Source organism: Homo sapiens, chromosome 9 (genome assembly GCF_000001405.40).
Source record: "Homo sapiens chromosome 9, GRCh38.p14 Primary Assembly".
Classification (NCBI taxonomy): Eukaryota; Metazoa; Chordata; class Mammalia; order Primates; family Hominidae; genus Homo; species Homo sapiens.
The window spans coordinates 27,199,606-27,226,006 of record NC_000009.12 but is presented as its reverse complement, the minus strand read 5'-3'; the positions used below and the strand labels follow the sequence as shown (position 1 = coordinate 27,226,006).

At 41.1% G+C, this 26,401-nt stretch overlaps 1 protein-coding gene and 1 pseudogene across 5 annotated transcripts in view; both read right to left on the bottom strand.

Annotated features, from left to right (window-relative positions):
- The window catches only part of TEK (TEK receptor tyrosine kinase), a 120,950-nt gene that overhangs the window by 4,168 nt on the left and 90,381 nt on the right, over nucleotides 1-26,401 (bottom strand). For 3 of the 5 annotated variants that reach the window (NM_001290078.2, NM_001375475.1, NM_001375476.1), the window contains 9 exons: nucleotides 22,888-23,187; nucleotides 20,945-21,096; nucleotides 19,215-19,425; nucleotides 16,776-16,886; nucleotides 13,110-13,300; nucleotides 12,410-12,523; nucleotides 8,249-8,319; nucleotides 7,190-7,230; nucleotides 5,862-5,958 (listed from right to left, as the gene is read on the bottom strand). In NM_001290078.2, coding sequence (NP_001277007.2) covers nucleotides 5,862-5,958; nucleotides 7,190-7,230; nucleotides 8,249-8,319; nucleotides 12,410-12,523; nucleotides 13,110-13,300; nucleotides 16,776-16,886; nucleotides 19,215-19,425; nucleotides 20,945-21,096; nucleotides 22,888-23,187 — 1,288 coding nt within the window. Of the gene's footprint in view, nucleotides 1-5,861; nucleotides 5,959-7,189; nucleotides 7,231-8,248; nucleotides 8,320-12,409; nucleotides 12,524-13,109; nucleotides 13,301-16,775; nucleotides 16,887-19,214; nucleotides 19,426-20,941; nucleotides 21,097-22,887; nucleotides 23,188-26,401 lie in introns of all 5 variants that reach the window. The other 2 variants (NM_000459.5, NM_001290077.2) reach the window with 1 other exon arrangement.
- Nucleotides 15,381-15,680, bottom strand: RPL36AP34 (ribosomal protein L36a pseudogene 34; annotated as a pseudogene).

Sequence of the window (26,401 nt, the reverse complement as noted above, 5' to 3'; positions counted from 1 at the left end):
TCTCTAATGACCAGTGATGATGAGCTTTTTTCATGTTTGTTGTCTGCATAAATATCTTCTTTTGAGAAGTGTCTGTCCATATCCTTTGCCCACTTTTTGATGGGGTTGTTTTTTTCTTGTAAATTTGTTGAAGTGCTTTGTAGATTCTGGATATTAGCCCTTTGTCAGAAGGATAGATTGCAAAAATTTTCTCCCATTCTGTAGGTTGCCTGTTCACTCTGATGGTGGTTTCTTTTGCTGTGCAGAAGGTCTTTAGTTTAATTAGATCCCATTTGTCAATTTTGGCTTTTGTTGCCATCGCTTTTGGTGTTTTAGTCATGAAGTCTTTGCCCATGCCTATGTCCTGAATGGTATTGCCCAGGTTTTCTTCTAGGGTTTTTATGGTTTTAGATTTTACGTTTGTCTTTAATCCATCTCGAGTTAATTTTTTATAAGGTGTAAGGAAGGGGTCCAATTTCAGTTTTCTGCATATGGCTAGCCAGTTTTCCCAACGCCATTTATTAAATAGGGAATCCTTTCCCCATTGCTTGTTTTTGTCAGGTTTGTCAAAGATGAGATGGTTGTAGATGTGTGGTGTTATTCCTGAGGCCTCTGTCTTGTTCCTTTGGTCTATATATCTGTTTTAGTACCAGTACCATCCTGTTTTGGTTATTGTAGCCTTGTAGTATAGTTTGAAGTCAGGTAGCTTGATGCCTCCAGTTTTGTTCTTTTTGCTTAGGATTGTCTTGGCTATGCAGGCTCTTTTTTGGTTCCATATGAAATTTAAAGCAGTTTTATCTAATTCTGTGAAGAAAGTCAATGGTAGCTTGATGGGGATAACACTGGGCAGTGTGGCCATTTTCACAATATTGATTCTTCCTGTCCATGAGCATGGAATGTTTTTCCATTTGTTTGTGTCCTCTCTTATTTCCTTGAGCAGTGGTTTGTAGTTCTCCTTGAAGAGGTCCTTCACATCCCTTGTAAGTTGGATTCCTAGATATTTTATTCTCTTTGTAGCAGTTGTGAATGAGAGTTCACTCATGGTTTGGCTCTCTGTTTGTCTGCTATTGGTGTATAGGAATGCTTGTGATTTTTGCACACTGATTTTGTATCCTGAGACTTTGCTGAAGTTGCTTATCAGCTTAAAGAGATTTTGGGCTGAGACAATGGGGTTTTCTAGAAATACAATCATGTCATCTGCAGACAGAGACAGTTTGACTTCCTCTCTTCCTATTTGAATGCCCTTTCTTTCTTTCTCTTGCCTGACTGCCCTGGCCAGAACTTTCAATCCTACGTTGAACAGGAGGGGCGAGAGAGGGCATCCTTGTCTTATGCCGGTTTTCAAAGGGAATGCTTCCAGCTTTTGTCCATTCAGTGTGATACTGGCTGTGGGTTTGTCATAAACAGCTCTTAATATTTTGAGATACGTTCCATCAATACCTAGTTTACTGAGCGTGTTTAGCCTGAGGGGGTGTTGAATTTCCTTGAAGGCTTTTCTCCATCTATTGAGATACATGTGGTTTTTTTCATTGGTTCTGTTTAGATGATGGATTATGTTTATTGATTTGCATATGTTGAACCAGCCTTGCATCCCAAGGATGAAGCAGACTTGATCATGGTGGATAAGCTTTTTGATGTGCTGCTGGATTCTGTTTCCCAGTATTTTATTGAGAATTTTCGCATCAATGTTCATCAGGGATATTGGCCTGAAGTTTTCTTTTTTGTTGTGTCTCTGCCAGGTTTGGGTAACAGGATGATGCTGACCTCATAAAATGAGTTAGGAAAGATCCCTCTTTTTCTATTGTTTGGAATAGTTGCAGAAGGAATGGTACCAGCTCCTCTTTGTACCTGTGGTAGAATTCAGCTGTGGATCCGTCTGGTCCTGGACTTTTTTTGGTAGGTAAGCTATTAATTCTGCCTCAATTTCAGAACTTGTTACTGGTCTTCGACTGGGATTCGACTTCTTCCTGGTTTAAACATAGGAGGATGTATGTGTCCATGAATTTATCCATTTCTTCTAGATGTTCTAGTTTATTTGCGTAGAGGTGTTTATAGTATTCTCTGATGGTAGTTTGTATTTCTGTGGGATCAGTGGTGATATCCCCTTTATCATTTTTGTTGCATCTATTTGATTGTTCTCTCTCTTCTTCATTAGTCTGGCTAGCAGTCTATTTTGTTATCTTTTCAAAAAACTAGCTCCTGGATTCACTGATTTTTTTTGAAGGGTTTTTCATGTCCCTGTCTCCTTCAATGCTGCTCTGATCTTAGTTATTTCTTGCCTTCTGCTAGTTTTTGCATTTGTTTGCTGTTGCTTCTCTAGTTCTTTTAATTGTGATGTTAGGGTGTCAATTTTAGATCTTTCCTGCTTTCTCCTGTGGGCATTTAGAGCTATAAATTTCCCTCTACACACTGCTTTAAATGTGTCCCAGAGATTCTGGTATGTTGTGTCTTTGTTCTCACTGGTTTCAGAGAACATCTTTATTTCTGCCTTCATTTCGTTATTTACCCAGTAGTCATTCAGGAGCAGGTTGTTCAGTTTCCATGTAGTTGTGTGGTTTTCAGTGAGTTTCTTAATCCTGAGTTCTACTTTGATTGCACTGTGGTCTAAGAAACTGTTATGATTTCCGTTTTTTCGCATTTGCTTAGGAATGTTTTACTTCCAGTTATGTGGTCAGCTTTAAGTGTGATGAGGTGCTGAGAAGAATGTATATTCTGTTGATTTGGGGTGGAGAGTTCTGTAGATGTCTATTAGGTCTACTTGGTCCAGAGCTGAATTCAAGTCCTGAATATCCTTGTTAATCTTCTGTCTCGTTGATCCGTCTAATATTGATAGTGGGGTGTTAAGACTCCTCACAATAATAGTGGGAGACTTTAAGTCTCTTTGCAGTTCTCTAAGAACTTGCTTTAAGAATCTGGGTGCTCCTGCATTGGGTGCATATATATTTAAGATAGTTAGTTAGCTGTTCTTGGTGCATTGATCCCTTTACCATTATGTAATGTCCTTCTTTGTCTCCTTTGATCTTTGTTGGTTTAGTCTGTTTTATCAGAGACTAGGATTGCAACCCCTGCTTTTTTTTATTGCTTTCTATTTGCTTGGTAAATATGCCTCTGTCCCTTTATTTTGAGCCTATGTGTATCTTTGCACGTTAGATGGGTCTCAATATTATAATGTGTGAATTTGATCCTGTCATTATGCTGCACTAGCTGGTTATTTTTCCCATTAGTTGATGCAGTTTCTTTGTAGTGTCGATGGTCTTTAGATTTTGGTATGTTCTTGCAGTGGCTGGTACCGGGTTTTCCTTTCCATGTTGAGTGCTTCCTTCAGGAGCTCTTGTAAGGTATGCCTGGTGGTGACAAAATATGTCAGCACTTGCTTGTCTGTAAAGGATTTATTTCTCCTTCAGTTATGTAGCTTAGTTTGGTTGGATACGAAATTCTGGGTTGAAAATTCTTCTCTTAAGAATGTTGAATACTGGCCCCCACTCTCTTCTGGCTCGTAGGGTTTCTACAGAGAGGTCTACTGTTAGTCTGTTTGGCTTCCCTTTGTGGGTAACCTGACCTTTCTCTCTGGCTGCCCTTAACATTTTTTCTTTCATTTCAACCTTGGTGAATCTAACGATTTATGTGTCTTGGGGTTGCTCTTCTCAAGGAGTATCTTTGGGGTGGTCTCTGTATTTTGTGAATTTGAATGTTGGCCTGTCTTGCTAGGTTGGGGAAGTTCTCCTGGGTGATATCCTGAAGAGGGTTTTCCAACTTGGTTCCATTCTCCCCATCACTTTCAGGTTTGGTCTTTTCACGTAGTCTCGTATTTCTTGGAGGCTTTGTTCATTCCTTTTCATTATTTTTTCTCTAATCTTGTCTTCATGCTTTAAGTGTATCTTCAGTATCTGATATCCTTTCTTCCACTTGATCCATTCAGCTATTGATACTTGTGTATGCTTCTAGAAGTATTCGTGCTGTGATTTTTAGCTCCATCAGGTCATTTACGTTCTTCTCTAAACTGGTTATTCTAGTTGCAATTCATCTAACCTTTTTTCAACGTTCTTAGCTTCCTTGCATTGGGTTAGAACATGCTCGTTTAGCTTGAAGGAGTTTGTTATTACCCACCTTCTGAAGCCTACTTCTGTCAGTTTGTCAAACTCATTCGTCCAATTTTGTTCCCTTGCTGGCAAGGAGTTGTGATCCTTTGGAGGAGGAGAGGCATTCTGGTTTTTGGAATTTTCAGCGGTTTTGCACTGGTTTCTCTCCATCTTCGTGGATTTATCTACCTTCAGATGAGGTTTTGGTGTGGAGGTCCTTTTTGTTGATGTTGATACTATTCCTTTCTGTTTGTTACTTTTCCTTCTAATAGTCAGGCCCCTGTGCTGAAGGTCTGCTGGAGTTGGCTGGAGGTCCACTCCAGACCCTGTCTGCCTGGATATCACTAGCAGAGGCTGCAGAACAGCAAAGATTGCTGCCTGGGTTCATCCCAGAGGGGCACCTGCCAGATGCCAGCCAGAGCTGTCCTGTATAAGATGTCCTGTCGACCCCTACTGGGAGATGTCTCCCAGTCAGGGAGCACAGGGGTCGGGTCAGGGACCCACATGAGGAGGCAGTCTGTCCCTTAGCAGAGCTCAAGTGCTGTGCTGGGAGATCCACTGCTCTCTTCAGAGCTGGCAGGCAGGAACGTTTAAGTCTGCTGAAGCTACACCAACAGCCACCCTTACCACTAGGTGCTTTGTCCCATGGAGATGGGAGTTTTATCTATAAGCCCCTGGCTGTGGCTGTTGCCTTTCTTTCAGAGATGCCCTGCCCAGATAGAAAGAATCTAGAGAGGCAGTCTGGCTATAGTGGCTTTGAGGAGCGGCGGTGGGCTCCACCCAGTTCGAACTTCCCTGTGACTTTTTTTACATTGTGAGGGGAAAACCGCCTACTCAAGCCTCAGTAATGGCAGATGCCTCTCCCCTCACCAAGCTGGAGCGTCCTCCCCCAGGTCAACTTCATACTGCTGTGCTTGCAGCGAGAATTTCAAGCCAGTGGATCTTAGCTTGATGGGCTCCACTGAGCTAGACCACTTGGCTCCCTGGCTTCAGCCCCCTTTCCAGGGGAGTGAATAGTTCTTACTTGCTGGTGTTCCAGGTGCCACTGGGGTATGAAAAGAAACTCCTGCAGCTAGCTTGGTGTCTGCCGAAATGGCCACCCAGTTTGGTGCTTGCAACCCATGGCCCTGTTGGCATAGGCACCAGAGGGAATCTCCTGGTCTGCAGGTTGCAAAGACTGTGGGAAAAGCTTAGTATCTGGGCTGGAATGCACCATTCGTCATGGCACCGTCCCTCCTTCGCTAGGAAGGGAGTTCCCCAACCCCTTGCGCTTCCCAGGTGAGGCTTCAGCTCACCCTCCATGGGCTGTACCCACTGTCTAACCAGTCCCTATGAGATGAGCCGGGTACCTCAGTTGGAAATGCAGAAATCACTTGCCTTCTGCGTTGATCTCACTGGGAGTTGCACACTGGAGCTGTTCCTATTCAGCCATCTTGCCAGCCCGAAAATGTATCCTTCTTAATTAATCTTAATGAACAGCTTTGAAATCTTTATCCCCAAGGATAGTGTTGTATGTTTAAAGAATTTGTTTCAGAGCTTTTCTGCATTTGTTGCCCTTCCTCATTTCAACCTTCCCAAGAGTCATTAAATTCCTCCTGAATTTCTATGCCTGTAAAGCTAATACTTCTTGTGTATTATATAACAGTATTAGGTGAATAAAAGGGGAGGGGTTCCTATTTGGGATCTCTGTGTGTAGGTGTTTGTGTATAGTGTATACCGGCTGACTTTGCTAGAGTCAGCTGGCCCCAGAAACACACAGGGGGAAGGTAAGACAAAATAGCCCCAGGATGAGGCCTGACTTACACCTCATCATCACAGTTCAGGGGCTTCTCCAGTCTGTAGCCCTGGGGCAGCTTCTCGTAGAGTTCTGCACAAGTCATCCCGCAGTAGGGTGTGCCTCCTGGAAGACAAACAGTGCCACTCTAAGTCCTCTCTGGCATGAAAAGCAATGCTTCCTGTCCAGGGTTTCTAAATATAAGGGGCCAGGAGGAAGACATGGTATGGCAAGAGAGGGTGAGCATCCTGCATGCCTCCCTTGGCAAACTCACTGCACATCAAAGCTGGGCTTACACTATAGACTATGCCAAAGCATGATCATTGCTTCAGGGGAAGGAACCACCACAGGCTTCCTTAGTGCCTGTTCTAAGTCTCCCCACACAAAGCACATCTATTATACCAATAAGATTAACCTTTATTATACCAATAAGATTAACCTTTTTTTCTGATTGGAAGTCCATAGTTTTATAACTCATATTTTATCAATGATAGTTATGGCCAGTTTTTTAATTACAAAAGCCATGCATGTTGGTTTATTGTAGAACAGTTTTTTAAATTTTAAGTTCTGAGATACATGTGCCATGGTGGGTGGTTTGCTGCACCTATCGACCCATCATCTAGGTTTTAAGCCCCACATACATTAGGTATTTGTCCTAATGCTCTCCCTCCCCTTGTTCCCTACCCTCTGACAGGCCCTAGTGTGTGATGTTATCCTCCCTGTGTCCATGTGTTCCCATTGTTCAACCCCCACTTATGAGTGACAACATGTGGTGTTTGGTTTTCTATTCCTGTGTTAGTTTACTGAGGATGATGGTTTCTAGCTTCATCCATGGTCCTGCAAAGGACACGAACTCATTCCTCTCTTTTTTGTGGCTGCATAGTATTCCACGGTGTATATGTACCACATTAAAAAGCATGAAGAATAAATGTTATTACCTTTCTGTGTAGTGCCTTCCAGTTTTTTAAAATATGCAATATTGATAAAACTAGGATCAGGGTATACATGAAATTATTACATATTTTCACATGCTATTAAATGGCTTTCAAAAATGTGACTTTTAATAGCTGCATAATCTAAGAGTTTTAGAAGTTAACCTGGCAACTTGTACAAGCGGAGCCAATTAATATATAATAAAGTTCATGGCCTCCAGGTCATTAGTGTTAAATATGACGTTAGGTATAAGGCTTTTAAAAAGAAAAATATGGGAATTAATACACTATGTTTCTATTTCCAAGTCACATCTGGTAGAACCACATACAAACGGCATCCTGTGGAATTATGCAGCAAGGGAGTGCTAGAGGCTTCCACTCACTTTGCCTAGAGTCTCACCTGGTAGATAAACATAGATACTCACCTAAGCTAACAATCTCCCATAGTAACACACCATAGGACCATCTGCAGGAGGGACAAGTGTGAAACCAACAATCAGCAAACAGAGTCACCGCTCATTTTCCGGCCCCAAAAGCCAGGGAGACCCACCCTTTCTGAGAAAAGGAGATGTTAAATGTCTACATCCTAGGATAGGCCCTTGCACACAGTGTAGGTTTCTCTCCTCTTAGCTCAATGGAAGGGTTACAACAAAGAAACAGTGTTCACTTTGCCAGAGCCCCCAAATCACTTTAACTAGAGACTACAAGGTGGTACTGTCCAAAACAGATGAAATTTGTTGTGGAGCTTGACAGATCTGAGTTAAATCCAATCTCTGCCACCCAATACTTATGTGACCTGGAAACAGTTGCTGAACCTCTTGGGACCTCTTAGTGTATTCTTCCAAAAGTGGGGACAATAATCCCTGCCTCAAAATTATGCAGAGAAACATAAAAAGCACCTTGCATACAGTGAGGACACAGCAATTGCCCACCCCCTCCTCATGCCCAGACATCAGCAAAACCCCTTGGACAAGTCACCACCCTCGGGGCCTTGGTTTTTCCTCCTGGAAATGGGGTACAAGGCAAGATGACCTAAATCTCAAGCCAATCCTTCCTTTCACCGCCAGCCTCTGATGCATCACTGCAGGCTGCAAGCAGAGACGACCCCCGCCACTGTCTGGCCTTATTTTGTCCCCAGCAGCTATTCTGGGTTGCTTCCTCTGATCTAGGTCTGGGAGAGGAGCCACAGGAAGGCCGGTATGTCCCTTCTTCCTGTTGAGTCCGAGAATTCGCAACTTGAAGCACATGAGGAATACACAACTTCAGTATGCAGAGGGAAACCCAAAACCTGCCACAAGTGATTCTGCACTCCTCTGGAAACTGTCTACTCTGTGGCTTTATTCTGCTAATTTATTTCCTGAGCTTTTTAGTTACCTTTGTTCCCGAGAGCTACAGGACATTCCTGTATCTTTTTAAAACCTCTGTCAAATGTATATGTTTCTGGGAGGGAAAAAAAATCCCTTGGCAATAAGAAGTTTACTCACACATCACTGTTGGTTGTGTACACACTGTAATTCAGTGACTCGATGGCCATCCAGCGCACTGGGAGCCTTCCCTGGAGAGAACAAAGTGAGATTTCACTTAACTGGGACAGGGTCTTTAAGAGGCTCTCAGCCTGCCTGAGCTGTGGCTCCACAAATGATTGCTGGGTAGACTCAGAAATCATTGCTTTGTGTATGTCCCAGCTACATGTGTTTTCAAATTTCAAAACATGCAAACAAACAGTATAAGTCCTATTTATCTTTCGGGGTCCAGCAGCGTTATATGAATGGAAGTGTGAGTGTGCACGCATGGTAGTCGGTCATTCCTTATTCACCTTATAGCCCTCAGAGGCACTCCGAGGCTTGAAAGGGGAGACAGGCATAGACACTGAGTGAGAATTTAACTGTATTAATAATATGGAAAAGGGAAGCAGGGTGGAAAAGGGAAACTGGGGTAGGGTGAAGAGAACAACTACGCCTGGAGATGATGGAGGGAGATTCTCCAGAGGACGGGATATCCCAGCATGGTTCTATAAGATGTTTAGGTGTCATTAGGTAGATGGGAGAGGAAAGAGCATCTCTGGACAAGGGGAACAGTGTGCATGTGTAACAGTAGAGATTGAGCTGATTTGTAGCTAGTGTAGTTTATGTTGGGTTTGGAGACATACTGATCCTTTCGATGCCTGGTCCTGACTGCCTCCAGGCTCTCCCCATATCTTGTTTTACTGATCCCAGGCTAGGCAAAATCAGATGTGCCTGGACATTGTAAAGCTTGACTTTAAAGTTTTATTCCTAGTTTCCTCAAAGTCTCTATGATTTGGGGCTCCCTTCCTATCTACTCATTCAAGAATCATAGGGTTGGTCATTGAGAGGTTGATCCCTCCCTCCCGGAGATTTGTCCAGACTTTCACAGTGGCATCTCCACCTAGATTAGCCAGTGGGTGGAACAAAACCAGGAGCACTTGAGGGACCTTTCTCAGCTCTCCAGAGCAGGTGTTCTCCTAGGTCATGCATTTATGAGACCAGCCCTGCCCTAGATCCCAAGGACGATTCCTGAATGTGCAATTGTCTCCCAGTTCTTTGTGGAGTGGCAATATTCTGATGCATACATTTCTAAACATAAATTCTAAATGGTAATTTTGTACTTTTAGGTTCAAGTATGGAAGTATTTTTTCTCACATCTACCTATTTATTGTTCTCCTCCACATCCACACCTCCTCCCTTCACTCTCTGTCCACACCACCCCATCTCCCAGCTGTTATTCTAACTCTCTCTACAGTGTTATCTGTTTTCTTTTTGCCCTCATTCACTCCCAGCCTGCTGGCTTCCAACCTCACACCTCCTAATTGTTAAGTTCCTTGTGCACTTTTTCATTTATTTTTTTATTTGACTTCTTTTGGATCTCGTCACTTCTGTCTACTGTATCACCTCAGTTCAGTCCACCATCATACCACACCTGATGACAACAATCTCTCCTGGTCTCTCTGCCTAACTGATCTCCCTCCCTAATTGTCTGTTCTCTACCCTGTAGTCAGGATGATCATGCTAAATGGCAAATTTGACCATGTAGTTCTATTCCTTAAAATTCTTTAATGTCCCTATGGTTCCAAGATCCCAAATCCTTAGCTGGAATTCAAGGCCCTTCAGGACTTTATCCTTGCTTCCTCTTCCAACCCTGAAGTTTAACTCTCCCTTCCTCTCTGCAATACACCCCCAGCCATAGTGAATTACTTAAACATCTCCTAAAGGTTTCATGCTTTCCTTTTCCTCTAGGGGTTCTGTATGTACTGTGTCCTCCAGCTCATCCAACTTATTCTCACATCCTCACTGCCTATCTAACATTTACTATGAAACTCAGGATTTGACCTCCTCCAGGAAGCCCTCCTTAACTTCCTTTCAGCTTGGTTCAGTGCACCTTCTTTGTGTTCCCGTAGCATCTATGCTTTCCTTGCTCTTTGCATTTATCAGCTGTTACAATCCTGAGTCATATGTCTACGAGCTCTTTGAAGGTGGAGACTGTGTCTGACTTATGTTACCCCAAAATCTAGCACAAGCATGAAACATTGTACTAACAAATCCATGATGACGGGATGGATATATTAATCTATGATAGTGAAACCCCAAATTGCTTAGTATAGTAGTTTGCAGTAATACTTCCAGTATTAAAATCACCCTGGGTAACTTAAAAAAAAAAAAAAAAACCCTAATGCAGGGTTCTCACCCTAGACCAATTGAATCAGAATATCCACAGGATAGGACTCAATCATCTGGGGATCTTTAAAAAATGCAGATGCTTTGAAGTACAATGAGAATTGAAAATCTGATTTTAAAATTGGCTGCCAGAGAAGGTAGCCACTGTGTTCTCTAGGAGTGTCTTGCCACACTGCACCTTTCTTGCAGGGAACTTGCTCCTCTCCAATCCTTCTTTCTTCCCCCTTCCCTCAAACCTGGCCCTTTCCTCCCCAGCCCCAAGGTGCTAAAGAACACCTTTACCCTGTTTAGTCTATTGTAAGATAGAGTTGAGACCTGATAGGTGCTCTCCCCCTGTAAATAACCCCAATATTGCAGAAATCACTGCCCTTTATGAAATGCCAAGCAAACCAGTGCTAGTCTTGGGAGGCTGAGGAGAGCATCCAAATAGAATGGGTAGATTGTGGAGTTATCCTGTGTTATCCCTCCACCTTCTCACCCAGGGTACCCACATCCCCCAAGTGCTGGAGTAAAGCAGGGAAAAGGATTTCAGGAAGGAGATTTGAGGACACCAGGTGGTGAGGGAGGAGTTGGGAAAGCTGGAGTAGGTAGGTGAGTGATGGATTCTGCTTCTTTAAGAAAACAAGCCCACCCCTGCTCCAGAGAAGCATCTGCTTTGAGTATGCCTGAAAAGGTTAGGGAGAAAAGCATCACCTGGAAGCCAGCCCTCAGGGAGGCACACATGGCTTCTGAAAGTGTTGATGTTGATAAGCATGCAGGGCCCTCGAAGAGCCAAAGGGACCCAGCTTCACACCCTCATCAGAAAGGAGAGTGGAAAGATCCAAAATGATTACGTTCACTGTGGTTGTAGCTATGTAAAAGGATGTATGCTGTGAAAGGCAATAAGCCAAAATGAAAAAAATATATATGCCAAGGTGGTGAATTATGGGTGATTTCCTTTCAAAATGTTCTTGAGTATTGTTTTACTTTATCTTCTCAGTAACTAAAATAAGTATGATGGGAAAAAAAGAAGCCTGGAATTGAGAATAAATGCCGGAACCTGAGCCTTGCTAAGAGACAATTTGGTGTGCCCACAAAAGCAAAAAGATTGTCTATATCTTATGACAACTGGAGCCATCCCAGGAAAGCTGGGACCAAGTAATGTTCATCAGACCTAAAAAAGGGAGAGCCATCCACCAGAGTAGATCTGCCAGACACATGGAAAGGCTGCAGGGCTTGTCATCCCTAAGGCCCCTGCATTCTGCCCACCCAAGGAAAAGAGAGGATGGTGACATTTCATCCACACAGCTGTAACATGCAGGGATGCGGTACTTCTAGGACTATGTGATTCTAGACTGGGCACCAAAAGCAGAATGAGTATCTCTCTTCCTCTAAGACTGTATGGTTAGGTTCTCCTGCAATCTTGTACTTAAAGATAAAATATTACTGTTTGGGAGAGTGGATTTTATTTGGGTTTGAATAGTGACCATTGAGGTTTCAGTGAAGAGAGAAATCTTAGATGAGCCTGTAGAAGTTATGAATTTCTCTGTAGAGCCTCCTGGTGATTTAGAAACCATTTAGTTTGTCTTCTTGACTTTTGGAAAATATGTTAATTTTTTTCCTTGCTGTGTCAGCTGTGCATGAAAGGGGATTGTGCAAGCTCCTCAGAGGTTCCTGAGTGAGATGCCTTGGGGTCTGGACTGGATAGAACCAAGACCCCAAACCACTAGGTTTGAACATTCAATCACTTGGTCACACATGACAGTGCCTTCTTCATTATTAATTAATGCAGATGCTGCAATCATGTTAGGAACCAACATTTAGAAAGAATGTTTCCCAGGGCACACAGTATCTACTGGGACATACAGTCAGATGCTTCAGTCACCACAGAGCACTGACAGTCTCAGAAGCAACATCAGGAGACAGGGGAGTACCTCGGAAAGGATGCGATCAGTGTCTGTGTCTGGCACTTACCATTGTCTTTTTCACATACACCTCTTGACCTCGGGACAATCCAAAATCTGCTATTTTTGCCACATAGTTTTCACCAACTAAAATGTTTCTGGCAGCCAGATCCCTGTGGATAAACTGAAATTTTTGAAAACATTATGTATTTTCAGCCTAATGAAAGCCCCAGGGCTGAAAACTTTGGGGAACAGGAAAGAAAACAATAGTATAAAAAAGGATTTTAAACAGTCACAATCCAGTTCCCTTAAAGTTCCCCTCCAAAATTCCCTGGTAATGGATTCTGCCAAATGACACACCACATCTTGGCAGAAGAATTTCAGAAAACGAACAAATAAAAAACACAGGTTGTTAAATCCTCCAGCTGTAATGTAGTGTGTCTCTGTTATTACACATTATTTAGAGGCAAACCAGGCTAAGAGAGCTTAAGGTACCTCGCTACGTATTAGGAAAATTATAAAATTTGCATATATGAAATTAGATAGAAGAAAATTATACAATTTTCATAATTATGAAAATTGCTAGATAAACATATTGTCAGTACTAATTTTTCTTTAAATAGATGGACTATTCACAGAGAGATTAAAATGAGGGAGATTTTAAGAAGGAGTTAAAGAAGAGAGGTTGACAGACCCTACAAACATATTGAAACTGACTTTAGAGGGAACTCCACAGGAAAGATATCCAAAGCGAAGTCCTCCGGACAAACCTGTTTTTGGCTCAAGTAGTCCATGCCCCGGGCCACGTCGGCAGCGAAGTGAAGGAGCTGCTGGGAGGACAGTGTGGACGCGGTGCTATTGGCAATGGCAAATGCTGGGTCCGTCTCCAGCACACGGCTCTTGCGAAGGAAGTCCAGAAGGTTTCCATGGGGCGCGTACTCAATGGCCAGGTACAAGTAGCCTGGAGGGAAGGAAGAGAGCATCGACTCATCAGTGGCCCTGAACAGCTATGACATTTAAGAGATGTGCTGTGGAAATTGCCTATAAACTCCATTTTGTCTAAAAAACACATCTAGCAACACCACCCAGGGAGCACTGGGGGACAGGAGGAAGACGGGTGACACCCTCCTGCAATACTCAAAAGGGGCCAGGCTGCAACGCTTGGTTTTGCTCCTTCCCACCCCCTCTCCATTCCTACCAAACCTGCACTCACACAGAGGGCTTCCTGAAATGCTTTTACCCACTCAGTAATAACAGTAGAGTGAGTCAAAGCATGCTCTTCCAGATCTCAGACACGTTCTTCACGTCACCTTTTCATTTGCATTCCATTTTGATCAAGGAGCTTAGTAACATGAGCCAGGCATGTTATTCTAGTCTGCCTCTAGCTATTCCTGAGGTTGTTATTATTTTTCAACAATTAAATATCCATGTGGAAGGAGCCACAACAGGTAATTGTCTCTCCTGCCTTCTACTCCTCCTCAAAACCCATCCTAAGTCACCATATTGCTGATTGGGTCTCTGGCCACCAGAGGTTAGTTTCAAAGATTGCATTTTGCTTCAAGATACCAGAAAACTCAAGCTTTTAGGAAAAAATAAAACAATAGTTCCTAGAAAAACTTATGGTTCATTGTCACTTTTTTGTTCCACATCATTTCTCTCTCTCTTTTTTTTTTTAATAAAACGTTATTTGCCCAGTTTTGTTACTTTTGTTTTCTTGGAATTTTTAAAAAATAAATTATCCCCTTGCGAAAATTTTTTTAAAGGGAATTTACTTGCTAAAAACATCGACATTTATACCTACTAAAAATGTAAAGTTAAAGTTATTTTACTGGTTTTTTTTAAAGAAGAATTTTTTGGGCAAACCATGTTTTTAAAATGATGTATGAATTAGAACTTGAAGCCCAGTGCAGTGGCTCACACTTGTAATCCCGGCACTCTGGGAGGCCAAGGCAGATGGATTGCTTGAGCCCAGGAGTTTGAGACCAGCTTGGGCAGTATACTGAGACCTAATCTCTACAAAAAATAAAAATAAAATAAAAATTAGCCAAGCATGGTGGTGCATCCCTGTAGTCCCAGCTACTTGGGAGTACTTAGGCTGAAGTGGGAAGACTGCTTGAGCCCAGGGATGGGGAGGTTGCAGTGGGCTGACATCGTGCTACTGCACTCCAGACTGGGCAACAGAGTGAGACCCTATCTATCTATCTATCTATCTCAAAAAAAAAAAAAAAAAAAAAAGCTTGAAAGATCTTCTAAGAAATTGAAATTCTAGCAAAAAAGAAAAGTAATATTGAAACCTGTTGCACTATAATGAAAGTTAGACCTAAATTATGGTATACATGTGCTTTCTCACATCTTTACTGAATTATTTTAAAATAATTTAAATATGTATTTATTAATAAAGATAAAGGTAATTTACCTTAAATACATATATATGCACATATATTCATATATATACACATATATTCATATATATACATATATTCATATATATATATACACATACATATATTCATACATATATATTCATATATATATATATTTTTTTTTAAACTGAGTCTCTCTCTGTCGCCTGGGCTGAAGTGCAGTGGTGCGATCTCGGCTCACTGCAACCTCCGCCTCCCAGGTTCAAGCGATTCTCCTGCCTCAGCATCCCGAGTAGCTGGGACTACAGGCATGCGCCACTAGGCCCAGTTAATTTTTTGTATTTTTAGTAGAGACAGGGTTTCACCATGTTGGTTGGCCAGGATGGTCTCGACATCTTGACCTTGTGATCTGCCTGCCTCGGCCTCCCAAAGTGCTGGGATTATAGGCGTGAGCCACCACGCCCGGCCTATCTTAAAATTTTAAGAGCCAGCTATGTGCTAATGTGATGACGAAGCAAAATTTTAAGGGATATATTTTTGTTGTTGTGGTTTTTTTTCCCAAGAAGGAAGCTGCATTAATATCATGGTTTATTCTCTCCCTAAAGACCAACTGCAACCAGATGAAGTAAACGTAACCTCAAGATTTTATTGTCCTCAGAATAAAACAAAAGCTGAAACTTAGAACTGGATCAACTGGCCATTTCTCTTCTTATCTCCTCCTAGTGCAAAGTGCCTGGATCCCTTAAGAGCCAGCATTCTCTTAGATCTGCAGTGGGGTCAACACTAAAGCCTCAGCACAGTCTTCTTTGTAGTTTTAGCCTTTTTCCAGAAAACTGGTTTAGTCTGTCCACCACGGCCACTTGGCTTCCTGTCATAACACCACTTTCCCTGGGCATCCAGAGAATCCTTGCCCTTTTGTACTGTGTCATTTGTAGGGTTTGTACAGAAAGTCAGGCGGGTTTTAAGAACACTCACCATGTTTGTGGGAGTGCTATCAGCAAGGACAGCAGGGTGTGTGTGTGTGTGTGGTATGTGTGTGTGTGTGTAACTTTCATTTACACTCCTGTGCCATGCTCATTACTGTTTTCAGGAAGTAGCTCAAAAAATAAATGTCATTACTTCATTATTTAACCTAAGGGACATGATCTGGCTTTCAGAATTACACCCTTATTGGATCATAGAATGATAAATTGTTTGAAGCACCAGTATTTTTAGTTTAATAAATTGAGGAAATGGAAGTAGTCTCTTTTCTATTGTTGGTGTTTGTGCTGCAAAGTCAACAAGAGGCTGTCAAGTTTGTAAATAATTACTGCATGGAGCTTTTTGTGGGAGCAAACTTTTCCACGAGAAGTGAAGTTTAAGCAGAGATTCAGAACTACAAGGCCATGCTGCATGCAGAGGTAAACCCATAGAGGATTTTTGTTGTTACCTACTCACTCACCAGTAATTACATGCATTACAGTAGAAAGTACTCAATAAACATTTGAATTAATAACATAAATTTAACTTTAAATGCATGTGCAACACAGGATAGTTGTAAAGCTCCATTGTAATTGTACATGAAAGCATTCTGGATAAAAACAAAGCACTATCGCATGAAAGCTTCTTATAATTATTTTTAAAATCCAACCATCCTTAGTTTTCATATTACACTAGATTGCTGGCATTCATGGCTTTTAACATTCAGAATACCAATTCCCTGGGTTTCCAGGAAAAATGTAAAGGTAGGCAATTAAGAAGCTGATGGTGGGGGCTCCCCTACTATAATAGTAGTGGTAGTGGAGAAAACCTCTGCATGGCCAAGGATGGGGCAGGTAGGAGCCATGAATACCTTTGGGCAGTAATGGCTGAACCACATCAGAGGCTAAATAGTCCAGCCTCGGCACCTCCCTCCAAAAACAAGGCAAACCACAGCACAGTCTATAAATGGGACTAGACAGACATTCAGATAGAAGATGCAACTTTAAAAAAAATAGGCAACATTCTTAAGATCATTATCTTTCCTTATATCCATATGGAATTTGTCTGTTTTATAAAAACTCTGGCAGGAAAGACAGGAAAAGAGCATCTTACCTCGATGTTCACATGCTCCTAAGAGATTGATGATGTTTGGATGGTGTCCAAGTTTACAAAGAACTTCCAGTTCTCCTGCAAAGTCCCTGTGATCATCTTTGGAGGCATATTCTGGGAAGAAAGTCAAGGGTTGTGATTCTTCTTTGTTACACCTTTTCAGAATCAGCTGTCCCGTCCTGCCCCCTAAGAACCTTCAGCTACCCTCAGTCACCATCAACTGTATACAACCAAAGAGATTACTCTAAAGTAGAGTTTCTCGGCCTTGGCACTATTGACACTGGGCTGATAATTCCTTTGCAGGGGCCTGTCCTGTGCATGGTAAGATGTTTTGCAGCCATCCTGGCCTCTACTAACTAGATGCCAATAGCCAATCAAAAATGTATCCAGATATTGCCAAATGCCCCCATGGGCAAAATCACCCCTGGATGAGAACCACTACTCTAAAGTTTTCTTGTTGAAGCTCCCAGATCCTCAGGTAAATGACTTGGTAGAGGTGGAGCTGTATCATCTTTTAGATTTTAGCTCTTCCAGCTAAATCTACCATCCAGAGACAACTGAGGAATAGAACCAAAGTTTCCATGAAACATCACCAATAATGCATGCCTCTTTGTTCACTAACTGTAACTTATTTTTTACAAACCAGTCTCAATCTGGTTGATTGAGCTAAACAAATCAAATCCAAATGGTATCTTATGGAAGTTGCATGGGAATCAGGAAACTGAGTTGCATCTGCTTCTATTCTTTTTGCCTTGTCTCTCCACTAGCACTTTAACCAGAGGGAGAACACAGCAGGCACCAGAATGAAGAGAAGGCTATTGGTTGGTGCATAAACTGATCAGTCTTGAGTCAGGGACAATGAGCTATGGCTGCTTTAAAAAAAAAAACACACATTGGGTGGCAAGGAAAGGAGTGAGGTGCTGGTGGCCATAAACATGGCTGCTCATGCTTAGAAACTGTGACAATCATCTCATGAGGGAATAATGGTACTCATAAGTCAAGTGCTCTGTTCATACTACAGAAGCCTCATGGAGGGTCAATATCTTGGGAATATTTTTTTAAAGTTCTTTATAGTGAGGTTGTCCACTTCAGTAACTGCCCTTCTTTGGATGCACTGCTTTGCCTGCAGGATTTATCTGCCCTGGTGCCTTATTAAGCTATTTTCCCTCTTCACATGGGCACAAGGTAGAAAATCAGGCTCACAATAGATCCCAATAAAAACTGCCTTCATAAGATTCTACACCCCTCTCCTCTCACTATCCTCACTGCTCCCCAAAACTCCCTGTGACTAAAGTAGCAAAACAGAAAAGGGATTTGTGGCTGTTTTGCAAGTAGTTTGTATTGTTTTTAAAGAAACATATTGCTGTTTCTAATCATAGATAATATTTTGTTTTGTTAGTCTTCCTAACAATGCAGAAAGCAGAGATGATTTAATAAGATTTAGAGGTAATTCATAGATTCAATAGTGTGGTCCAAAAAAAAAGAAAAATCTGCCAGCATCCTTAGAGAGCTCTTAAGATGGAGCTGCACAATGATAATAGTTCATCATATTCTCTGCTTTAATGCACCACATTCCAAGCCTGTATTTTGTAAAATCAATAGTGCAGCCTCACAGTCAAGTCTTATACAAACTGCTCTTTCATGCAGAAGAGAAGACAGCTAGCTAATTTGCCAGTGAACTAGTCATGCTGCTTTCTCTGAAGATATTATCAAATATTATTAGATGGGTAGGTACCAAACAGTCTTGAGATGAACAAAGCTGGAAAAGATTTAGTTCTTATGACCTTAAGTCAGTGGTTTTCTCTGCAAACCTGAGTGTACAGAGGAACCATTGAGAAAGCCACTTAAGAACACAGATTTTCATATGCTACCCAAGAAACTCAGATGTAGTCAAGGAGTAGAAGAAACCCAAGTGAATGCATTTCTAACAGTGTCCCCAGGAACTTATATACAGTTAACCTATGAAGACTGTGGTTTGCAAAATGTGGTCCCCAAACCCACAAGATAGCATCACTGGAAAACTAATGAAAAATGCAGATTCTCTGGCCCTGCCCTAGACTGAGTCAGAAATTGTGGGGTAGGGCCCAACAGCCTGTTTTTAAACAAGCCTTCCAGGTGATTCTGATGCACACTCAATTTGGAGAAGCACTGCTTTAAGAGAAACAATGATGCTCCGCAAAAGTTAGCCATATATGACCAAGAATCTATAGTATCTCATCCCAATGAATCAAGACAGTGATGTTTAAATGGCTCCTGCCTTTGTATTGATATCCTGACTATCACAGGCTCAACTTCAAAGGAAGCATAACCTTCAGTTGCAAATAACAGCTATGTCTGATACCATGCCAATTTTTTGTAAGACCATAGAGGAAAGAATGAGCAGGAAATCAAGTTTTCTCCACACCCTCACGCAATGCTGACTCTATCTGGTCAACCACTGACCTTTCATTCTTTTGATGGCAGCATCCATCCGTAACCCATCCTTCTTGATGCGCGCCTTAAGAACTTGGCCAAAATTGCCCTCCCCAATCACATCTTGAAATTTGATGTCATTCCAGTCAAGCACTGGATAAATTGTAGGATCTGGGTTGTTTTTGACCTTCCTGTTTAGGGCCAGAGTCCCTGAGTTGAACTGCACAGCTGGTTCTTCCCTCTGGAAAAATAATTATTTCATCATTTTGTGTCAGGATTTTTCATAATTCTAAGGGGCATAATGTCTTCTGGTTGGCATCCACACCAGATGAAAAAAGAAATACTGTATTTAATTCTAGACTGGAAAGGGAAATAGGTTTTCATCACACAGGACTGCCCTGATAAACCAGCTGCCCACAGGGCTGCACGGGCACAATTCTGGGCCTCCCCAGAAAAGCCTGTTGATTAGCAATGTCTGTAAAGGGTGACGGAGGAAGGAGTAACAGTACATATTCCATGTGTTTGCCATCCTTGCGTTAGTTGTACGTGAGTTCCCTACAGTGTTGTGAAATGAGCAAGCGTTCAGTTCTGGTTTGGAAACTAACTTGGAGAGCCTATGTGGGGCAGCCACAGGATGCGCCTCAGTGAGAGCTTTCTTAGCATTATCTTGATCCTACTCTATTTTTAGTGCACACTCTTTCTCTCTCGTAGTAAGGCTTAGAATCTCTAAGTCCACTCTGGCCACAAGATGATTGAAGCTTAGAGCCAAACCCAACACAGTATCTCTTTCTCCTGAATTCAAATAGCTGCTGGTGCTACCATGAAAAAGCACCGGTATTTTGACAGGCTCAGCACTCCCAACCCCCTTGCTGGCCCTTCTTCTCCAGCGACAGCCTGAATTGAGCCAGCTCTGGCATGGAGTCAGATAGTGAAGTTCCTCTTGTCCTCCGTGGAAGGGAAACTCGGGGACTCATGCACATGGGGTACACCTCATTTGAATCATTGCACTCAATGCATTATATACAGAATTGATAAAGTCTGGTTCAAATTAATTTTACAGGGCCTGAACCCACAAACTAGATACATTTTCAGGCTTTAGTATACCAAAAGAACTCAAATAAGATGCCTCTTGGTAAAGTGTGATTTTTATAGGCCTTTGCTACTGGTTAGAATTCCTAGATGAAAAAAAAAATGAGGCAGTACCAAGTGCCAGGAACTCTGACTTCAGACTGAGGGTACACAGGAATGGAAGACACACACAGGTATATACAATTCTTACACATACGAGGGGTGATAAGATTGAGGGACTTACTAGAAAGAAATGGGAACTGGAAATAGGCAAATGTGAGGAAAACTTGTCTAATATATTACGTCATTACCTATCTCACTGAGGTCTGGTTACCCTCTGTCCTTCCTTACCAAAAATGTTCAATTTATTCTGTTGCAAGATATCATCTCTGGGGACTTACTACTAGGATGACCATATGTCTCATTTCAGCAGGCAGGGGCAGACCTAGTTTCCTGCATAATTTACTAAGAGCACCCTTTTCACTCTCAAAATTGTTCTGGTTTGGATAAGAAATTAAAAAGTCATACTTTTTATCTCCCATTTCATAATGAAAGCCAAAGAGAAGATGAGGCTTGCCTAAGGGAAATATTTACTTTATAAGTAAATTTCCTGGTCCATATCTTTAAAGTGAAGGTTCTGCCTGTACTTGGACTTGCCCTTATTAGCTAGTAGGAAGATGAGACACTACCACGTTTTGGAAGGCTTGGGCCATTCTCCTTTGCACATTTGCCCTCTTCAATTGCAATATGATCAGAAAGGCCAACAGCACAGTCAGGCAGGTCATTCCAGCAGAGCCAAGGATGGCTATAAGCAGCATCTTCCCCCCTCCGAGGTCCGCTGGTGCTGTGCAGGAAGACAGAGGTGAAGCAGGTAGTTTAGTTTACATAGAGAAACAGACCCACACCGTATGTGGGAGAAGACACAGTGTAATGGGAACTTAACAGCAGCCTTAACCCTGCCACCTAACCACTATATGACCTCGGGCTACTCATTTATATTCCAAACTCAGTGGAGATGAGTCTGACTCACAGGGTTGTAATAAGATTAAAAAAAAAAAAAACATGCAAAAGTGCTGTTACAATTAGCAATATGCTAATCATTAGTTGTCATTTGTTCAACTTTTATTTCCAAGTAGAATCCCAAGCAAATGAACAATGTTGAATAATAGGGAGAATTACTACAGGTATAACTTTGAGAGAGTGACTAAACCTCCCTAAACCTCAATTTCCCCACCTAGAAATGCTTTAAAGTTCAATGATGCTAAGAGCTTACAGTCTATCAGGTATTTTGTTTTGTTTGTCTTGTTTTAATGAGTTAATGAAGAAAACCTAATGATACCCAATAGAAGAAGAGAGAGAGGGAGGGAGGAAGACAGGAAAAGACAGAGGAAAAATTAAATTTAGGGCTCAGGTCAAAATAAACTATTAAAGACTATGGTCAAATCTATTTCTTTTCCTTATTTAAATAAAATTAAACTCGATATATTTTTATTAGCAATAGCACATAGAACATGATCTCGTCCTCTTAAAAGTATCCCTCTCTTCTCATTTATCTTTTCTTCTATCTCTATATATGTACAGATACAGAGATGTCTAGAATGGTGAGAAACTTTTGGTTTTGTCTTGTTTTAAAAGTTTTCTCTTGGTATTTTATGTATAGCTTGAATTTAGGAAGTTACATTTCGCCAAAACACAAGTAATTACAAAAATGGGGCATTCACTAAGAGTGTGACCTGAAAACCATGATTTTCTATATTTGGCAGACTCTTCATTCCTTGAGCATTTCAAAAATGTTCCAAAGAATCAGCACTGTTAAAGCGACTTGTTTGATTTTGTTTCTTAAGGTCTAGGTAATCCTCCAAGAGAACCAAGAAGTTTTCAGATTTAGTTATAGTATTTTCTTTAAAAACAGACTGTAATCCAAATCATAAATTTTCAAAACTTGCCTCTAACGTGCCTCCATCTACATTCTCTGGCACACATTGTACACAACACAGAGAGCCGGGAGGTGCCTCTGCACAGACTTGAAGTCAATCCTCCTGCTGCAGCTCCACCCACATGGGACCCTTGTTCACTTAATTACACTCAACAGACTTTATCAATCACAAATGGTGGGCACAGTATGGCATCCAGAGAGGATCTCTATCTAGCTCAAATCACATACTTTTCCTGGGGTTGGGGTTAGTGGTGGACATGGAATAACCTGCATCAGTAAAGTAGAAGAAGACTCAGAATTGCACAATGTCATCCAAGCTAAAAAAAGGAGTGTTTGAGGAAGAATGGAGCATGGTTCTTGGAGCCTCCTACTGGAGCTCTTGCATAGCTTGCCTTCTATAAGCAGCTCCCACATTCTTCTTTCTCCTAGGAATTAAAATTCATATTCCTCAGAGCTTTCTTCTTAGATTGCTGGATGGGGTATGCTGATAGACTGATCTATTCTAAGGTTCAATAATAGAAAACGGACCAACAGGGATCCTTCTCAGAGGCATTTTGATATTAAGGACCTCTCTGTAAATGCCTGTCCATTCAACCACCGACTTTTCATAGGCTTTCATCTCACAGGCCTGTCCTGATAAACCAGCTGCCTATAGGGCTGCACGGTAATCCTATGTAAATACTTGTCCATTCAACCAACCTTGAGATTCTGGGAGGGTCACCAGTTCATGAGAAAAGGCTGGGTTGCTTGACCCTATGTTGTTCTCTGCAAAAATGTCCACCTGGTATGCTGTTTCAGGCTCTAGGCCCTTGAGCTGATACTGAGTGATGGTGGCATTCTTTATCTTCACATCAACGTGCTGGTCTTCATTCTTGCCTTGAACCTTGTAACGGATAGTAATAGAAGAAATAGAATAGCCATCCAATATTGTCCAAGAAATCACAGCTGAGGAGTGTGTAATGTTGGAAATCTTGATGTTTTCTGGTTGAGGAGGAAGAACTAGAAATTAAAAAGAAAAAAGATTCACTTAAGATATACTACCATGGCCTAGATCATTATGCTTTTGAGATAGAGTTCATGTCAGCTCATATAAGGCAAACAAATGTTTTCTCATATGGTACCCCAATCAATTGGTAGTGGCTACTGGACTCCACGCAGACTTGAAAGAGTGGCACAGACAGAGAAATGGCAACACATATCATCTATCTGTCATCTTGACACTAAATGAAGGCCTTAGAAATTCTGTTATTCCACAAACCTGTACTTACTATTCTTGATGCTGGGAAGAATGGAAAGCTTCTGAGGGCTGGCATTTATATAGTGCTTACAATATGGCAGGCATTGATCTAGTCTCTTGTATATATTAACTCACTTCCTCTTCATAGCAATCTTTCTGTAAGTGCTGAGGTCTGGAGAGATTAAGTGACTTAGCCATGGTGACACTACTGTTAAGTAGAAGAAACAAGATTCAACTCCTGGCAGTCTGGCTCTGTAGTCCATAGTCTTAGTGTCATGTGGTCAGTCCTTGCCCTCAATTTATGGAGCAGCAGGCAGGTCAGTGTATACATGAGAAAATGTGCTAATAACTTTTAGTAGACAAAGTATTATAGGGATTTGGGGAAAAGTGGAATCACATTCCATTCAGGGACACGGGCAGGATGAGAAAGAGATGCCTTGAGGTTTTCCACATGTGAAGATGACAGGCACCGCAGCATCACTACATTCTCACTCAAACTCTAAAGGGCACAGGCTAGAAGGGAAGTTCGTGATCCAATAAAGGCTAAGCCTATTTGATCCAGGAAAAGAATGGATTCGAGCTCTTGTCCTTAATAGTAACTGTACCTTACATTTATGAGGCTATTTACAATGTGCTTCCACATGCAGACACTCTCTTGACTTGTATAACCACACAGTACTGAGATTTTTTATGATCCACATTTTAGAGATGAGAAAACTGAGACTTCAAAAGTTTAAGGGGTTTGTACTTGTCCCAGTAGGCGAATAGTAGACATAGGCTGTTTCATTCCATACACCATTGTTTTTCCACATGAAAGTTACTGCTTATAAACAATTTAGAACCTTTGAGAAGTATCTCAAGGTACATCCTTTCTATTTTAAATTTCTTCTTTTCATTATGTTGACTCCCCCTTGTTACTCTTTAGGGGACTGTGGCAATTTATGAGAATTAGGTATTGGATTTAGAACCTTCCAAATCTGATTGTTATGTTCTATGTCTAGCAGATGGTACAGTATCCAAAAATCACAATTAATCAACAGTATGTCTTAACTTTCTTTACATCCAGTACCAAGTCTTTTGTATATTTTTATAAAAATATACAATAGCCTTTCTTCCCACATGAGATTGAAGGAGTAATAGAAATACCAACATTTTCAGATTACTATGATCACATAGTTAATATTTGTATAGTTGTGGCTCAAAAAATTCAACTTCATAAACCAGTGGTCTTCTAAGCCTGTCACAAAAAGCAGCAGTGTCTTTTAGAAGCTTGTTAGAAAAATAATGAATATAATTTTTGTGCCAACTAAAAATCATAAATTTGCATCTACCAACTTACCATTTTATGCCTGAAAGGAGTCATTCTTAGGGATAGCTCAATAAACCTTTGATTTAAATTCAGCGGGTCTGGACCCAGCAATCTACATTTTAGCAGGTTCTCTGGGTGACTCTACAATAGATTCTAAAATGCTTTAGGAAACACTAATCAGACCTTAAACAATTTAGAAACGGGATATCACTACTTAAAGAACCTCTAGAAGCATAGTTGCTTTGAAGCAGTGGGTCGCCCATCCAAAGAGACAAGTGCAAGACATTTGTAGCATGGTGGGGGGAAAAATAGAACTAAAATGTGGATTAGAATCCTAATCCCCATGCCGTACTAGTTCCATAATTTTGGGCAAGTCACTTACCCTCCTCTGTGCCTCAGGTTCCTCATCTGTTAACTGTGATAATCATTCTTACTCTACTTTCCTCAAAAAGTCATTGTAAGGGTCAAATACTCCCCATGTAAATGTTTTCCAACAGGAAAACATAACACACATATATTATTTTTAACATATGATTGGGGTGATACGCCAAATCTAATTCACTCCACTTCTTACCCCTGGACCAGATGTAATTGCTAGGCTGGAAACCAACACAAACTTTATAACTGGAAGTATTAATTTTACTTATGAACATACATGATCAATGACAACACAGCATATTAACAAATATTTTCAGGTAAAAATGAGATGTTCTCATTCACATCCTCCTTCCTCGGATTTCCTGACCCTATAGGGATCAACTCCTACCCTGCCAATCTCACATCCCTACTACCACCACCAGCATTGACCCTCCATCAAACTTCATACAATCATCCAAGGCAAGTCGACTCCCAGTGACTATTAACTAGTTTTTGTTTAATCCTATAAATATGATAATGATAGTGTGATTTTGAGAGTGTATCATTCTAATGAGGATGAAACTTATGTAGTTTAGGTGAGTGAGCACCTCAGATAATTTTGAAATAGGAAATAGTGATTCATCCCATAGTTACTGACATTTCACAAGTTTATAGTTAATATGCTGGAAATGGTACAGGAACAAACAGATCAATGGAAGGGAACAGAACATCCAGAAATAGATGCAAAATGAATATGAGAACCTGGCATATGATACAGAAATCATCACAACTCACCATGGGGACTACTCAATACGTGGCATTGGGACCACTGACATGCCATATGTGAATAAATAAGATTAAAATAAAAATATTAAAATATACTGCACCCCAAAATAACATTTTTATATCTTAAAGACCTAAATACACAAAACAACACTAGAACTACTAGGAAAAACACAGAGAATATGTTTATGACCTTGGGATAGGGAATAATTCCAAAATGCAAAAAGTATAAATCACACAGGCAAATACTGACAGGTCCAGCTGCATCAAAATGTCAAGTGTCTGTGGGTTAAAAGCCACCACAAACAAGGTTACAATAAAGGGATTAGGAGAACATATTTGCAATACACATAACAAAGTATTTAGATTACACAAATAATTTTTACAAATCAGTAAGAAAGACAACCTATTCCAAATGAGCAAAGGATATCAATAAGTATATCAAAAAAGAGGACATCCAGTATATCAATAAGTATATCAAAAAAGAGGACAATTAACATAAAAAGATGCTCACCTTTGCTAGCTAT